This window comes from Homo sapiens, chromosome 4 (genome assembly GCF_000001405.40).
Source record: "Homo sapiens chromosome 4, GRCh38.p14 Primary Assembly".
Classification (NCBI taxonomy): domain Eukaryota; kingdom Metazoa; phylum Chordata; class Mammalia; order Primates; family Hominidae; genus Homo; species Homo sapiens.
Window position 1 is genome coordinate 98,421,824 of NC_000004.12, and position 17,603 is coordinate 98,439,426.

The following is a 17,603-nucleotide window of genomic DNA, read 5'->3' on the forward strand; positions in this document are numbered from 1 at the left end:
AGATCACAATAGTGAGTACCCAGGCCAGCAGTTCAGCAGCTGATTTAGTATCTAGATTATATGATTTTTAAATTTTTTAAATACTGTTTTCTTGTTGGGCGTGGTGGCTGACACCTGTAATCCCAGCACTTTGGGAGACTGAGGTGGGCAGATCATGAGGTCAGGAGATCAAGACCATCCTGGATAACATAGTGAAACCCCGGGTCTACTAAAAATACAAAAAAAAATTAGCTGGGCGTGGTGGCGGGCACCTGTAGTCCCAGCTACTCGGGAGGCTGAGGCAGGAGAATGGCGTGAACCCGGGAGGCGGAGCTTGCAGAGAGCCGAGATTGCACCACTGCACTCCAGCCTGGGTGACAGAGCAAGACTCCGTCTCAAAATAAAATAAAATACTGTTTTCTTTTTCTTTTTTGAGACTGAGTCTTGCTCTCTCGCTCAGGCTGGAGTACAGTGGCACAATCTCAGCTCATTGCAACCTCCACCTCCTGGGTTCAAGCAATTCTCCTGCCTCAGCCTCCAGAGTAGCTGGGATTACAGGCAGGCGCCACCACACTCGGCTAATTTTTGTATTTTTAGTAGAGATGGGGTTTCACCATGTTGGCCAGGCTGGCCTCAAACTCCTGACCTCATGATCCTCCCACCTTGGCCTCCCAAAGTGCTGGGATTACAGGCATGAGCCACCATGCCCAGCCTTTAATACTGTTTTCTAAGGTGACCCTTTCAGTCATTTCTCTTGTACAACTTCAGTAGTGATTATATATGAGGAGAAAGTTTAGAACTCAAATCCACCAGCTGTTTTCATTTATTTTTAGAACAGATAAGAAGAAGATGCCAAGAGAAAAAACGTAAAACTAAAGCTGTTCTTGTATAAATCTCTTTCATATAAATAATTGGCTTCACCATAATAGCTGTCCCAGCTGGTAAGCCTCAGGAGTGTTCTTCTCCATCAGATGCTAAATCTTGAGAACTTTCCCTGGGGAAAAGCAGCTGTTAACTAGGACCTTCCTATTACCTGTCTCACCCAGACCACCCTAAAAGCTCATACATTTTTCCTGACACAGGACCAAGCAGTATGTTGGCAAGGTGGAAGTTGTCAGGAGAGAATAGCAAAATGGCTTCCTTGGTACCCCTTTGACCCCTTCTCCATCATAACTGCTCTCTCACGCCCATTTGTTCATTTAACAGTTAATATTTGAGTTCTTGCAGTGTAAATACTAAAAAATAGTGTTTCTATAAAGGAATTAACTATCCGTTGAGGGGACAGAAATAAAAACAGCTAGCTTAAGTACAGCTTTAAAGCTACGTATGCTATTCGGGTGTAACAGAGGAAAGAAAGACTAACACACTGTCTGGGTAATCTGGGATGGTGCCATAGAAGGAGTGCTATTTTAGGCGTTAACTAGGAATCTCAGGAGGAAAGGGAAAGAGAATGAAGGAAAGGGCCTTTTCAGGCAAAGACAGCAGGATGTACAAAAGCACAGAGATGTAAAACAGCATAATTTTTTAAAGAAACTGCAAATAAAGCAGTATTGCTAGAACACAGAGTGTAGAAAGAGACAGTAGCCAGAGAGGTTGAAAACTGGGAATTAAGTGAATTATATACCAAGTTAAGATATATGGACTTGATTCTGTAGAGAATTCGGGAGCACTTAAAGGGTTTTAAGCAGCAAGTTGCCATTATTTGAGGGTTTTTTTGTTTTCTTTATTTTTTGTTTTTTTGTTTTTTCGGGGTTTTTTTGAGACAGAGTTTCGCTCTTGTTGCCCGGGCTGGAATGCAATGGTGCGATCTCCACTCACTGTAACCTCCGCCTCCCGGGATCAAGTGATTCTCCTGCCTCAGCCTCCTGAGTAGCTAGGATCACAGGCGTGCACCACCATGCCCGGCTAATTTTGTATTTTTAGTAGAGACGGGGTTTCTCCATTTTGGTCAGGCTGGTCTCAAACTGCCGACCTCAGGTGATCCGCCTACCTCGGCCTCCCAAAGTGTTGGGATTACAAGCGTGAGCCACCACACCCAGCCATTTAGTTTTCATTTAGAAAGATGTCTCTAGGGTTTAATGGGGGTAGAAAGGACAGTTATTGCAAAAATATATATGAGAGTTGATAAAGGACTGAATTAAGGTTTTGAGTTGAGCAATTTGAAATTGCTGATATTCAGCCATTTTTGAAACAAATTTCATATGGGTTATTCAACTAGAAGCAGCGAGGATGGAAAAGAAGAGACAGACCTGAGAAAAATATGGGTGGTAGAATTGACAGATTCAACAGTAGAATTAAAGGAGGAGGTAGTTTTAGAGCTAATTCCAAGTTTGGGGTTTACCACCAGATTGGGTTATCATGCCATTCAACAAAATAAAACACTATAGGAAGAGGTGCAGCTAACACTCCCTAAACTTGCCCACTCGCCCATGCTCTTTGGAGTCATTACCCTTAATCTTTTTGCTCTACTCCAAGAGAATCTCCACCATTGGTTTGCAGGGGTATACAATCATTTGGATTTCCCTGGGCCATATTGGAAAACGAATTGTCTTGGGCCACACATAAAATGCACTAACACTAACAATAGCTGATGAGCTTAAAAAAACAAAAATCACAAAAAAAACTCAAACACCTGTGGCATTTGAAGAAGAAGAGAAATCTAAAAGTTTAGAAAACCAGCTGAGTGCGGTGGCTCACGCCTGTAATCCCAGTACTTTGGGAGGCCAAGGTAGGTGGATCATTGTGGTCAGGAGTTCCAGACCAGCCTGGCCAACATGGTGAAACCCCATCTCTACTAAAAATGCAAAAATTAGCCAGGCATGGTGGCGTGCGCCTGTAATCCCAGCTACTGGGGAGGCTGAGGCAGGAGAATTGCTTGAACCTGGGAAGCGGAGGTTGCAGTGAGCCAAGATCGTGCCACTGCACTCCATCCTGGGTGACAGAGCAAGACTCCCAAGACTCTGTCTCCAAAAAAAAAAAAAAAACAAAGAAAACTTTTGGAAAACATATTTGGGAGAATAATCAAGGAAGACTTCTCCAGTCTTGCTAGAGACCTAGACGTCCAAATACAAGAAGCTCAAAGAATACCTGGGAAATTCATTGCAAAAAGATCATTGCCTAGGCATATTGTCATCAGGTTATCTAAAGTTAAGACAAAGGAAAGAATCTTCAGAGCTGTGAAGCAAAAGCACGAGGTAACCTATAAAGGAAAACCTATCAACTTAACAGTGGATTTCTCAGCAGAACCCCTACAAGCTAGAAAGGATTGGGGCCCTATCTTCAGTCTCCTTAAAGAAAGCAATTATCAGCCAAGAATTCTGTATCCAGTGAAACTAAGCTTCATAAATGAAGGAAAGATACAGTGTGTTTCAGACAAACAAATACTGAGAGAATTCACCACTACCAAGCCAGCACTACAAGAGCTGCCAAAAGGAGCCCTAAATCTTAAATCCTGGAAACACATCAAAACAGAACCTCTTTAAAGAATAAATCTCACAGGACCTACAAAACAAAAATACAATTAAAAAAAAAGTGGGGGGTATACAGGCAACAGATAGCATGATGAATGGAATAGTACCTCACATCTCAATACTAAGATTGAATGTAAATGGCCTAAATGTTCCACTAAAAGATACAGAATTGCAGAATAGATAAGAATTCATTAACTATCTGCTGCCTTTAAGAGACTTACCCAACACATAAGGACTCACTTAAGGTAGAGGGGTGGAAAAAGACATTCTATGTAAATGGATACCAAAAGTCAGCAGGAATAGCTATCTTGTATCAGGCAAAACAAACTTTAAAGAAACAGCAGTTCAAAAAGACAGAGGGACATTATATAATGATAAAAGGCCTTGTCCAACAGGAAAATATCACAATCCTGAATATATATGCACCAAACACTGGAGCTTCCAAATTTATAAAACAATTGCCAATAGACCTAAGAAACAAGATAGACAGTAACACAATAGTGGGAGACTTCAATACTCCACTGACAGCATTAAAGAGGTTATCAAGACAGAAAGTCAACAAAGAAACAATGGATTTAAACTATACCCTAGAACAAATGGACTTAACAGATATTTACAGAACATTCTACCCAAAACTGCAAAATATACATTCTATTCATTAGCAAATGGAACTTTTCTCCAAGATAGACCATATAATAGACCACAAAACAAGCCTCAATAAATTTTAAGAAAATTGAAATTATGGCAAGTACTCTCTCAAACCACAGTGGAATAAAACTGGAAATCAACTCCAAAAGGAACCTTCAAAGCCATGCAAATACATGGAAATTAAATAACCTGCTCCTGAATGATCACTGGGTCAATAACAAAATCAAGATGGGAATTTAAAAATTCTTTGAACTGAACAATAAATGATACAACCTATCAATACCTCTGGGATACAACAAAGGCGTTGCTAAGAGGAAAGTTTATAGCCTGAAATAGGCATTTCAAAAAGTCTGAAAGAGCACAAAGAGACAATCTAAGGTCACATTTCAAGGAACTAGAGAAACAAGAACAAACCAAACCCATACCCAGCAGAAGAAAGGAAATAACCAAGATCAGAGCAGAACTAAATGAAATTGAAACAAAAAAGACAATACAAAAGATAAATGAAACAAAAAGCTGATTATTTGAGAAGATGAATAAGATTGATAGACCATAACCAAGAAAAGAAGAGAGAAAATTCAAATAAGCTCACTTAGAAAAGAAATGGGAAATACTACAACTGACACCACAGAAATACAAAAGGTCATTCACAGCTACTATGAACACCTTTACATGCAAAAACTAGAAAACCTAGAGGAGATGGATAAATTCCTGGAAAAATACAACCTTGCTAGCTTAAATCAGGAAGAATTATTTAGATACCCTGAACAGACCAATAACAAGCAACCAGATTGAAATGGTAATTTAAAAATTACCAACAAAAAAAAGTCCAGGACCAGACAGATTCACAGCTGAATTCCACCAGACATTCAAAGAATAATTGGTACCAATCCTATTGACACTATTCCAAAAGATAGAGAAAGAGGGAATCCTCCCCAAATCATTCTGTGAAGCCAATATCACCCTAATACCAAAACCAGGAAAGGACATAACAAAAAAAGAAAACTACAGACCAAAATCCCTGATGAACATAGATACAAAAATCCTTAACAAAATACTAGCTAACCAAATCCAACAACATATCAAGAAGATAACTCACCATGATCAAATGGGTTTCATACCAGGGATGCAGGGATGGTTTAACATACCCAAGTCAATAAATGTGACACACCACATAAACAGAATTAAAACAAAAATCACATGATCATCTCAATAGATGCAGAAAAAGCATTCCACAAAGTCCAGCATCTCTTTATAATTAAAACTCAGCAAAATTAACATACCAGTGACATACCTCAATATAATAAAAGCCGTCTATGAGAAACTCATATCCAACATAATACTGAATGGGAAAAAGTTGAAAGCATTCCCTCTGAGAACTGGAACAAGATAAGGATGCCCACTCTCACCACTTCTGTTCAACAGGACTGGAAGTCCTAGCCAGAGCAATCAGACAAGAGAAAGAAATAAAGGTCATCCACATCGGTAAAGAGGAAGTTAAACTGTTGCTATTTGCTGATGATATGACTGTATACCTAGAAAACCCTAAAGACTCCTCCAAAAAGCTCCTAGAACTGATAAAAGAATTCAGCAAAGTTTCCAGATACAAAATTAATGTACACAAATTAGCTCTCCTATCACCAAGAGCAACTAAGCTGAGAATCCAATCAAGAACTCAACCCTTTTACAATAGCTGCAAAAAATAAAATAAAATAAAATACTTAGGAATATTCCTAACCATGGAGATGTAGTTTTACAAGGAAAACTACAAAACACTGCTAAAGAAAATCATAGATGACACAAATGAAAACACATCCAATGCTCACCGATGGGTAGAATCAATATTGTGAAAATGACCATACTGCCAAAAGCAATCTACAAATTCGATGTAGGTCCCATTAAAATACCACCATCATTCTTCACAGAACTAGAAAAAACAATTCTAAAATTCATATGGAACCAAGAAAGAGCCTGCATAGCCAAGGCAAGACTAAACAAAACAAATCTGGAGGCATCACATTACCTGATTTCAAAGTATACTATAAGGCCACAGTCATCAAAACAACATGGTAGTGGTACAAAAATAGGCACACAGACCAATTGAACAGAATAGAGAACCGAGTAATAACCCCAAATACTTACAGCCAACTGATCTTTGACAAAGCAAACAAAAACAAAATGGGGAAAGGGCACCATATTCAACAAATGGTGCTGTGATTATTGGCATGGAAGAATAAAACTGTTGCCTCATTTCCAACTTAATACAAAAAAAAAATCAACTTGAGATGGATCAAGGACTTAAATCTAAGACCTGAAACTAAAAATTCTAGAAGATAATATCAGAAAAAGCCCCTTCTAGATGTTGGCTTAGGCAAGGATTTCATGATCAAGAACCCAAAGCAAATGCAATAAAAACAAAGGTAAATAGCTGGGACTTAATTAAACTAAAGAGCTTTTGCATGGCAAAAGGAACAGTCGGCAGAGTAAACAGACAACCCACAGAGTGGAAGAAAATCTTCACAATCTATACATCTGACAGAGGACTAATATCCAGAATCTACAATAAACTCAAACAAACTAGCAAGAAAAAAACTAATAATCCCATCAGAAAATAGGCTAAGCACATGAATAGACAGTAATGAAGATATACAAATGGCCAACTTATGAAAAAATGCTCAGCATCACTAATGATCAGGGAAATGCACATCAAAACCACAATGCCATAACACCTTACCCATGCAAGAATGTCCATAATCAAATAAAAAAATAATAGATGTTGGCATGGATGCAGTGAATAGGGAATACTTCTACACTGCTGGTGGGAATGTAAACTAATACAACCACTATGGAAAACAGTGTGGAGATTCCTTGAAGAACTAAAAGTAGATTTACCATTTGATCCAGCAATCCCACTACTGGGTATCTGCCCAGTAGAAAAGAAGTCATTATACAAAAAATATACTTGCACACATGTTTATAGCAGCACAATTCACAATTGGAAAAATGTGGAACCAACCCAATGCCCATCAGTTAACGAGTGAATAAAGAAACTATGGGGCCAGGCATGGTGGCTCACGCCTGTAATCCCAACACTATGGGAGGACGAGGCAGGCAGATCACCAAGTCAGGAGATCAAGACCATCCTGGCTAACATGGTGAAACCTCGTCTCTACTAAAAATACAAAAAATTAGCCAGGCATGGTGGCGGGCGCCTGTAGTCCCAGCTACGCTGGAGGCTTAGGCAGGAGGATGGCGTGAACCCGGGAGGTGGAGCTTGCAGTGAGCCGAGATGGCACCACTGCACTCCAGCCTGGGTAACAGTGCAAGACGTGTCTCAAAAAAAAAAAAAAAAAGAAAAGAAACTATGATGTGTATATATATATATGATGGAATGCTACTCAGCCATAAAAAGGAATGAATTAATGGCATTCGCAGCAACCTGGATGAGATTGGAGACTATTATTCTGACTCAGGGGTGGAAACCCAAACATCATATGTTCTTACTTATAAGTAGGAGCTAAGCTATCAGGATGCAAAGACATAAGAATGACACAACAGACTTTGGGGACTTAGGGGTAAAGGGTGGGAAGGGGGTGAGGGATAAAAGACTACAAATATGGTGCAGTGTATACTGCTCGGGTGATGGGTCCACCAAAATCTCACAAATCACCACTAAAGAACTTACTTATGTAACCAAACACCACCTGTTCCCCAGTAACCTATGGAAATAATTTTTTTTAATCACAAAAGAATTTCATAATGTTTTAAGAAAGCTACGAATTTGTGTTGGGCCACGTTCAAAATCATCCTGGGCTGCAGGTTGGACACGCTTGGTTTAGAGTTTTGGCAAACCATAATTGTATTAACTAATTTACAGACATGATCCTGGCATCTGAATTTGGAACTCTCAGATAAATTCCTGTTACATGTAGTAGTAAGGCTCGTGGAAACCTTGATTAATCTAGTATCTTCAGTATCAACTAACAGAATTACATAACCAAACCATTCATGGACACAAAAATATGTCCACAGGAAGATACATCCCAGCTTCTTAGAAACATCTGAATTTAGGAGCCAGAACTACTTAAATGCTATAATATTTAATAAATTTAAAGATTTTGAGGCTTTTCTGTGAATTTTGTTCATAGATCCCCCTTTCCCTCATCTAACCTCCCACTTCTCGCCCATCCCCGAAAAGAAGAGTTCAAATACCCATCACCACGCAGGTTCTTTGAATGATGAGAACTGTGGCATGGTACCCTTTTAGGAAAAGGTGGATGGGGGTGTGTGTAGCAGAAAACAACTTGAAATTATATAGGATTGTAACTTTATAGTTACATATTACAACTTTAGGATTACAATTCAATACCTTTACATATCTTTCCTACAATTGAGAGTATACTGCTGCTAAGCAGCCAAGGAGCCTTGATTCTCACACTTTAATGAGCAGAACTATAAAGTGTGTTAATTGCATGAGTTCTATGTCAGAGCTGTTATTTTCTAACTTAACCAGTGTTACAGTAGACATGACTGCTTTTGAGCAGCAGTTCAAGTTTGTTTCATCAAATTATAATCCCAAGAAATCTTCTACAAAGAAAGAGTTGCATAGGTAGATTAGTTATGCAAATAGTAATTATTTTTTTCTTTGCCTTTGAGATTCACAGCACACATTAATACTAAAGAAACCTCTTTAATTTTATTTGAATCCACTGATTGCCAAACTGTTTGACCATGGATCCTTTCTGCAGGTGGCATCTGTTATTACACTGGACGTACTTTGGAAAAATGCTGTTCTAGAATAAGTTTTTAAAATAATTAAACACCAGGTTCAAATGTATTACATTCCTGTAGATCCTTAGCCAGCTGTGTGAATCACAGCTCTCTCCTTGTGTTGTTCTTAAACTTTGAAGATCATACCTCACCCTGAATTCCGTCTTGGAGTTCAACCCTTCAAAAGTTTGCACTGACTCACAAGGTTTCATGCTGCTTAGTCATCTCAGCACTTTGCAGTGTATTCCTGTGCTGATGCTCTTAGGTAAAGTCACACCTTTCTTTGAAAGAGTGCCCTAGTCTAGGACTGCTGACCAACTAGCTGAATCTTCCAATTATAGACATCAAAAATGTAAAGAGAAATATAGGTTGCCTTTATACCAGGAATATAAAAACTCCCTGCTATCAAAGCCAGCACTTTTCTTTAACCTTTAAGAGTAGAGAATTCTTTATCAGTTACCAGGCTAAAAACTTGTTTAAACAAATGTATTTAGTCATTTGCTCATTCATCCAACAAACATTTATTTAAATCCCGTACTGAAAAGGCTTTGATGATACAATCTTGAAAAAGAAAATTTTTGTTAAGTGGCTCACCAACTCAATGGCTATACCAACCGGCAATCTTATAAAATTACCTCAAATCAAAGCCTATCTGAAAATATTCCGTTGTGATCAACATGATACAGTTTTCAACAGTCTTAACCTGGGTTGATTTCACTAATCAAGGGCAAATTGACTAAATGCTAAATAGATGAAATTGTTAGCATGGATAATTTGCCTTGGTTTTATATATACCAAAATTTAGCTTTCTATAAGAATAGAACTATGAAATAAAACATGTTTCAGACTGCATAAAGCATCTCCAGAATTTTTAAGAACAAAGACCCACTAATCAGCCAAACTGCCTAGGTTTTAGCCTTGGCTTTACCACTTATTTATTGTCTGAACTTGGGCAAATGACTTCATCTGAGCTTCAGTTCCTTCATCTATATGAACAGGAGATGATATCTAGCTAATGAGATTTTCTGCAGGATAAAAATTTGCTAATATCTATAAGCTACTCAGTACAATGTCCAGCTTATAGTTATTGCTCCATAAAGGGTTGCCATCAATATTATTCTGTCACATGTGACGAATACGATGTTTTATCTATTTTTTAATCCCATATTCTATAAGGCAAAATGATTTCATAGAATAGCTATTCAATAAACATTTGTTGAAGTAGTTGGTGAGAGGGCAGGAATTTTTTTTTTTAATTATACTTTAAGTTCTAGGGTACATGTGCACAACGTGCAGATTTGTTACATAGGTATACATGTGCCGTGTTGGTGTGCTGCACCCATTAACTCATCATTTACATTAGGTATTTCTCCTAATGCTATCCCTCCCCGCTCCCCCCATCCCACGACAGGCCCCAGTGTGTGATGTTCCCCAGAGGGCAGAAATTTTAAAAAGGACTCAGGTATCTGTTCCGGAAAAGTGAGATGAAAGTATACCTGGCCAAAGAGAGGACACTGTTCATTTCTGATGTACACATTTCCTTAGTTCATTCCCTACTCTTCCTTCTACTACACTGGTCTTTTAAGTGTGATTAGAAACATAGAGGACAAAATGACAGTTCAAACATCTTCCCTAAATGATTGCATATGTATCTGTTCATCTCTTATGGTCTTCTTTACTCAAGCTCTTTTGTGATTTTTATAAAATTTTTTACTAAGAATTCTGTGTCTGTTTCAAATAAACTGTTGCTGAGTAAACAGTAAATTGGGGAGGTTAGAAAAAGCTTTCTAAAACAGATTGATGGGGAAAAATGTATTAGATGCCAGAACACAGCTACCATAAAAACTTAGTTCTTGGACTCTATTTAGCAAGTTTGATCACTAAACAAGTTTGGGCTCAAAGCAAAGATACTTTCTAAAAATAGTTTTCTCAAAAAATTTTTATGAAATGGAAGCATAAAGCAAACCCTTTAAAAATATTTTAGCAAATTTGGAAAATATTTCCAACTACAATTAATTTTGAAGCTGACTCAGGCTTTTTAAAATGTCCAGACCTTCAAATTATTAAAAATATTGAAAATAGAGAAAATTATTTTTAAAATATTATTGAGACCTCCTACTAAATCAGATTTAGTTCAAGAGTTCTAAGACAACGGAACCCTTGGTGGAATGAAGACCAAAAAGGGTACTAGAAATAAAGGTGAACATTTTTTTTTTCATCTAACTTTTGCCAGATGGTCTTATATGTTTTCTGTGTAATAACTTTGTAATAACAAAAACCTATGAGATATATACTTACATCATTCCAGTGACATGGAGATAGTACTGAGGTAAGAGAGGTTCAGTAATTTGCTCAGTCAGTGGGATTTATTGAATCCAGAGCTTGATGTCTCCTCTGTCATGGAGAGAAGACAGAGCTCTAAGCACCATGAGAAATGAGGGCAGATGGAGAATTTTAAGTTCTGCTCAGTCTTTTTGCATGTAATTCAGTTTTCATATTTGTAAGATTAAATCAAGGGGTAAAAAGTACTTAAAATTTTTTCATAAAAGCTTTACCTGGAACATCTGCAGAACAACTACCTGGCACTATCATGAAAATTTAAAAGCAACTTTTTTTTTTTTAAGAGGCAGGTTCTCACTCTGTCACCCAGGCTGGAGTGCAGTGGTGTGATCATAGTTCACTGCAGCCTTGAGCTCCCTGGCTCAAGCAGTCTCCCACCTCAGCACCCTGAGTAGCTGGGACTGCAGATGTGTGCCACCATGACTGGCTAATTTTTTTATTTTTTGTAGAGATGGGGTCTCGCTATGTTGCCAGGCTGGTCTCAAGCGATCCTCCTGTTTTGGCCTGTCAGAGCACTGGGATTAACGTCCTGAGCCACCGTGCCCAGCTGAGAACTTTTTTAAATTCCAAGTTTTATTCTTGTTTGTCAATCCTAAGGTAGGTCAACATTTAAGGCAGTGACATTTTTACTTCTTTGGCTTTGGTAGCTTCTAAGCCTTCTGTTTTTTAATATGAACTGCAGTGGTCTTTTCTACTTAGGCAATTTAAGTTGTCATCTTTTGATGAATGTATTTAAAGCTAAAAGCTTTTTCCTTTTCTTCTGTGGAGAAAAAAACTATGATTAAATCAAATGATTCATACAGGACACTGTCGCAAAACCACTCAACAATGAGTTGACTGATTTTAATGCATGTTCCTTATGTTTAAAATTAAAGTCTATAATTCTCTGATATTATTTATTGTAGGATGTAATTAAAACCATTGTGCAGAGTGGTGGCATCAAGCATCTAGTTACCATGGCAACTAGTGAACATGTAATAATGCAGAATGAAGCTCTTGTTGCTTTGGCATTAATAGCAGCTTTAGAATTGGGTAAGTACCCCAGTGACAAACTTATTTTCTTCTATTTTTATCTTGGATGAAAGGAAGTATAGAAGTGGAGTTGAAGTCAGACAGAACCTTGACTGGAAGCATTTTGCTAGTGTCTGTACCGTTCTCTGAATCTATGGAAAATCATTCTATATAGATTGTTACAGCTGTCCCCTTTGGCTGTGTTTTTGGTAACATTTTTAGGGCAATGCATTAAGGTAAGTTTAACTTTTAAATAATGTCTCAAGTTACAGCCACTTAGAGAATAGAGAAAACGTTTTCAGCAGGCTTCACAGAGAAACCAAACAATATTTAGAATATGACAGCATATGAAGAGTCTGCTACTCTCCCAGTGACCCATACTTTCTCTTCCATCTCTGCTGGTTCTCTCTACTACCGATTCTTTCTTGCTGTTCTCCTTCTCCATCACCGTGACTTCTATTGCCTTACTCTAATGTCTTGTCTTCTGTGTTACCCTTCTGTGTGTTTTGCATTCAGAACTCCCCCAAAGCAGAGGCTAAATAGGCTAAATAATTTCATTAGTTTCAGTTTAACATAGCTTTTTTTTTTTTTTTTTTGAAACAGTCTTGCTTTGTCACCCAGGAGGCTAGAGTGCAGTGGCGCAATCTCAGCTCACTGCAACGTCCGCGTCCTGGGTTCAAGCAATTCTCGTGCCTCAGCCTCCTGAGTAGCTGGGATTACAGGTGCATGCCACTGTGCCTGACTAATTTTTGTATGTTTTGTAGAGACAGGGTTTCACCATGTTGGTCAGGCTGGTCTTGAACTCCTGACCTCAAGTGATCCACCCACCTCAGCCCTCCCAAAGCGCTGGGATTACAGGCGTGATCCACCATGCCCGGCCCTAATATAGCATTTCTGTTGGGCAGAATTCATCACGAGAAGCTAATCCGTAGACATCTAGTTTATGAATAGCATAAGCTGGATGGCTTTGGAGCCAACCCAAGACAGTCAGCCAGGGATGGTGTAATAGAGTCACGTGGCCTGTGGTTAAGGCCTAAGGCTGCTTAACACAAAGGAGGACTTTACACTTAGTAGGGATGTCCTATCCAATTCAAAGCCATTTGGGTAAATACTGTTAACTGATAGCCTCTTAATTCCCACTGACAACTTAGATCCATAATTCTCACACTGGGGCGAATGGACCCTCCAACCCCAGTTCCAGGAAGAGGAAACACTCATGTGAGTATTTTTTTATGTGCATAGTGTGTAATGATCAAGTCAAGGTGTATAGGATATCTGTCTCCTTGAATGGTCTGTTGGTGACTGGAAGCCTTACCAATAACAGTCAGTGAACATATATTTTGTATATGAATTATATACTATATTCTTATAATAAAGCCAGAGAAAAGAAAATGTTAAGAAAATTGTAGGGAAGAGAAAATATATTTACTATTTATTAAGTAGAAGTGGATTATCAAGAAGGTCTTGAATCCTTGTCTTCACACTGAGTAGGCTGAGGAAGGGGAAGAACAGAAGGGGCTTAGGCTTGCTCTCTCAGGGATGGCAGAAGAGAAGAAAATCCAGGTATAATTGGACCCACACAGTTCAAACTTACGTTGTTCAAGGGTCAACTGTATATTCTTTGGTGAAATGCTGATTTTTGTCTTTTAACCATTTTTTTTTTGACTGTTGAGTTTTGAGAGTTCTTTATATATTCTAAAAATTTTGTAGTTCTATATTTTACATTTAAGTCTGTAATCCATTTTGAGTTAATATCGGTATAAGTCACGCCTGTAATCCCAGCACTTTGGGAGGCCGAGGCGGGTGGATCATGAGGTCAGGAGATCGAGACCATCCTGGCTAACACAGTGAAACCCCGTCTCTACTAAAAATACAAAAAATTAGCCGGGAGCGGTGGCGGGCTCCTGTAGTCCCAGCTACTTGAGAGGCTGAGGCAGGAGAATGGCGTGAACCCAGGAGGCGGAGCTTGCAGTGAGCCGAGATCGCGCCACTGCACTCCAGCCTGGGCGACAGAGCCAGACGCTGTCTCAAAAAAAAAATATATATATATATATATATCGGTATAAGGTACGAGGTTTAGGTTAGGGTTCATTTTCTTTGTCCCATGGATGTCTAATTGTACTAGCACCTTTCGTTGAAAAGCTGTCTTTCCTCCACTGCACTGATTTTGTACCATTGTCAAAAGTCAGTTGAGCATATATGTGTGAGTCTATTTCTGGGTCTTCCATTCAGTGCCTTTGACATAAGTGCCTATGTTGCCACCAGTAATATGCTATCTTGATTACTGTAGCTATAGAGTAAGCCTTAATACTGGATGGAGGAATTCCTCACACTTTATTCTTCTTTATCAAGATGGTTTTAGCTATTTTAGGGCCTGTGGCTTTCCATGTAAGTTTTAGTATAAGCTTGTATATTTTCTACAGAAAATCTTGCTAGGATTTTGATTGAAATTCCACTGAGTCCTTATCTTTTATTTGTGGAGGGAATTATGTGATTTATAGGATTTGCTCCAAAATAATTTGAGATGGATGACAGCAGGTGAATGAGAGAGATCGGCCATAATTCTTTAAGGTGATAAGTGCATAAGGTATATTATTATACCATCTTTTCTGATTTTGCATATGTTTAACATTTTCCATAATAAAAAGTTTAATTGTCTCATATTAAAAGAAATGTGTTAGTATTAAATAGTAAGCTTAAACACCTGAAGTGTCTACTAAAATCTAATTCTATTTACTCTTTTCACATGGTCTGAATTTAATATTATTTTTCTAGGTCATTATTATTTATCAGTTCCATTTAGAAGGTTTCGTATGGTCAATTTCTTCAAAATGAAGCAGTGTTTATCCTGAGGATACTGGGTTCGTACGCAGTAGATATACTTTGTTTTATTTGTAGGCACTGCTGAGAAAGATCTAGAAAGTGCTAAACTTGTACAGATTTTACATAGACTGCTAGCAGATGAGAGAAGTGCTCCTGAAATCAAATATAATTCCATGGTCCTGATATGTGCTCTTATGGGATCTGGTAAGTATTCTTCTATCATTTGATGTCCATAAACATATGGTTCACATTAAATATTAAATATAGAGTAATAGTAAATGATGGTTTTGGGTTTTAAAGCCGTTAGAAATTAGTTTATGGAGGTTATAAGATAACTTTTTTCCCCTATTACTGTAAACACTCATTTCTTCATGGTGATGACATTGAAAATCTTCTCTTCTAGCTGTCTTGAAATATACACTACATTGGTATTTTCTAGCCATCCAACTGTATAATAGATAGAATTACTTTTCACTGAAGACATTCCCAAAAGATTCTCACTACAATAGAAAGTATCATATAGCAAATCTAGACAACATTCAGTATTGCAAAATCAGTAAGTCTCATGAACCCTAAAATGTTATTTTATAGCAGGCACAGGTTCTGATTTTGTATGCCATAATATTAACTAAGGAATTTGTTTAGGAGGCCAGGCACGGTGGCTCATGCCTGTACTCCCAGCACTTTGGGAGGCTGAGGTGGTGGATCACTTGAGGCCAGGAGTTCGAGACCAGCCTGGCGAACATGGTGAAACCCTGTCTCTACTAAAAACACAAAAATTAGCCGGGAGTGGTGGCACACGCCTGTAGTCCCAGCTACTCAGAAGGCTGAGGCAAGACAATCGCTTGAACCTGGAAGGCAGAGGTTGTAGCTGAGAGATTGTGCCACTGTACTTCCAGACTAGGCAACAGAACAAGACTCTGTCTCAAAAAAAAAAAAAAAATTTTTTTTTTCAACAAATCATTGGTATATCTTCTATGGACATTGGCATATCTTGGTATATGTTCTATGGACACCTGAAAAGAGTGTGTATTATGCAGTTATTGGGTACTGTTGTATAAATGTGAATTTGATTCTGTTGGTACTAGTGTCAAGTTTCCTTTATTCTTGCTGGTTTTGCAGTTAATTGTTCTGTCAATTGTCGAGAGGAAGGGTGTTGAAGTCTCCCACTGTAGATTTACCTATTTCTCCTTTCAGTTCTGTCAATTTTTGCTTAACATAATTTTCAGCTCTGTTGTTAGGTACCTACACCTTTAGGATTGCTGTGCTTTCTTAAGGGATTGACCCTTTTATCATTATATAGTGTACCTCTCTCTGGTATTTTTCTTTGCTCTCGTCAACTTTATCTGACTTTAACATAGCTACTTCTGCTTGTTTTTTTATTATTACTATTTTATTTTCTTTCATGTGCCACTACAAGAAGCCATCCTACTTTCTTTTGAATAACATTCACATGATCTTTTCTCACTCTTTTAGTTTCAATCTGCTGTATTTGAAGTGAGTTTCCTGTATACAGCACAAAGTTGTCATTTTCTAATCTACTCTACCAGTCCCTTTTGTGTATTTAGACCATTTACATTTAATGGATGACTGATATGGCTTAAGTGTGCAATCTTATTTTTGTTTTCTGTTTGTCACATTTCTTCTTTATTTCTGACTTCCTATGGGTTAAACATTTTTTAATCATTTACATTTATTCTTCCATATATATATATATATATATATCTTTTTTTTTTTTTTTTTTTTGAGACAGAGTCTTACTCTGTCACCCAGGCTGGAGTGCAGTGGCGTGATTTTGGCACACTGCAACTTCTTCCTCCAGGGTTCAAGTGATTCTCATGCCTCAGCCTCCCGAGTAGCTGGGATTACAGATGCCTGCCACATCACACCTGGCTAATTTTTGTATTTTTAGTACAGGCGGGGTTTCACTATGTTGCCCAGGCTGATACTGAACTCCTGACCACCCGTCAGGGTGATCCACCTGCCTTGGCCTCCCAAAGTGCTGGGATTACAGGTGTGAGCCACCACGCCCAGCCTCTCACGTATATCATTCTTAAATATTTCTTCTACATATATTTAGAATCACGTTAGACAGTGTTACAACTTTTCTTTCAACCACCAAACATATTTCAGAAAACTCTTTGAAAGAGAAGGGAAGTCTATCGTATTTACGCACATTTTTAGATTTCTTATTTTTGTTATAATCATTCCCTTTCTGTTTAGAGAACTTCCTTTAGCCATACTGCTAGCAACAGATTTTTAGCCAAAAAAAATTTTTTTCATTCATAATGAAAGGGAAATGACATTGTCAAATGACAGAAAATGGGTATAGGATTCTGGGTTCACAGTTCTTTTCTTTCTTTACTTGAAAACTATTGTGCCACTTTTTTCTAGCCTCCCTGGTTTCTGATGAGAAATCCATTGTGTTCTTATGTGTTTTATTCCCCTGTAGGTAAGGTTTCATTTTTGTCTCTCAAGACTTTCTTTGCGTTTAGTATTCAGAAGTTTAACTATGATGTGTCTTGGCATGGATTTCTTTGGGTTTATCCTGTTTGAGTTTGC

At 38.1% G+C, this 17,603-nt stretch overlaps 1 protein-coding gene across 12 annotated transcripts in view; it reads left to right on the forward strand.

Annotated features, from left to right (window-relative positions):
* The window catches only part of RAP1GDS1 (Rap1 GTPase-GDP dissociation stimulator 1), a 182,475-nt gene that overhangs the window by 160,440 nt on the left and 4,432 nt on the right, over positions 1-17,603 (forward strand). For all 12 annotated transcript variants that reach the window (NM_001100426.2, NM_021159.5, NM_001100428.2 and 9 more), the window contains 2 exons: positions 12,113-12,239; positions 15,117-15,245. In NM_001100426.2, coding sequence (NP_001093896.1) covers positions 12,113-12,239; positions 15,117-15,245 — 256 coding nt within the window. The remainder of the gene's footprint in view (positions 1-12,112; positions 12,240-15,116; positions 15,246-17,603) is intronic.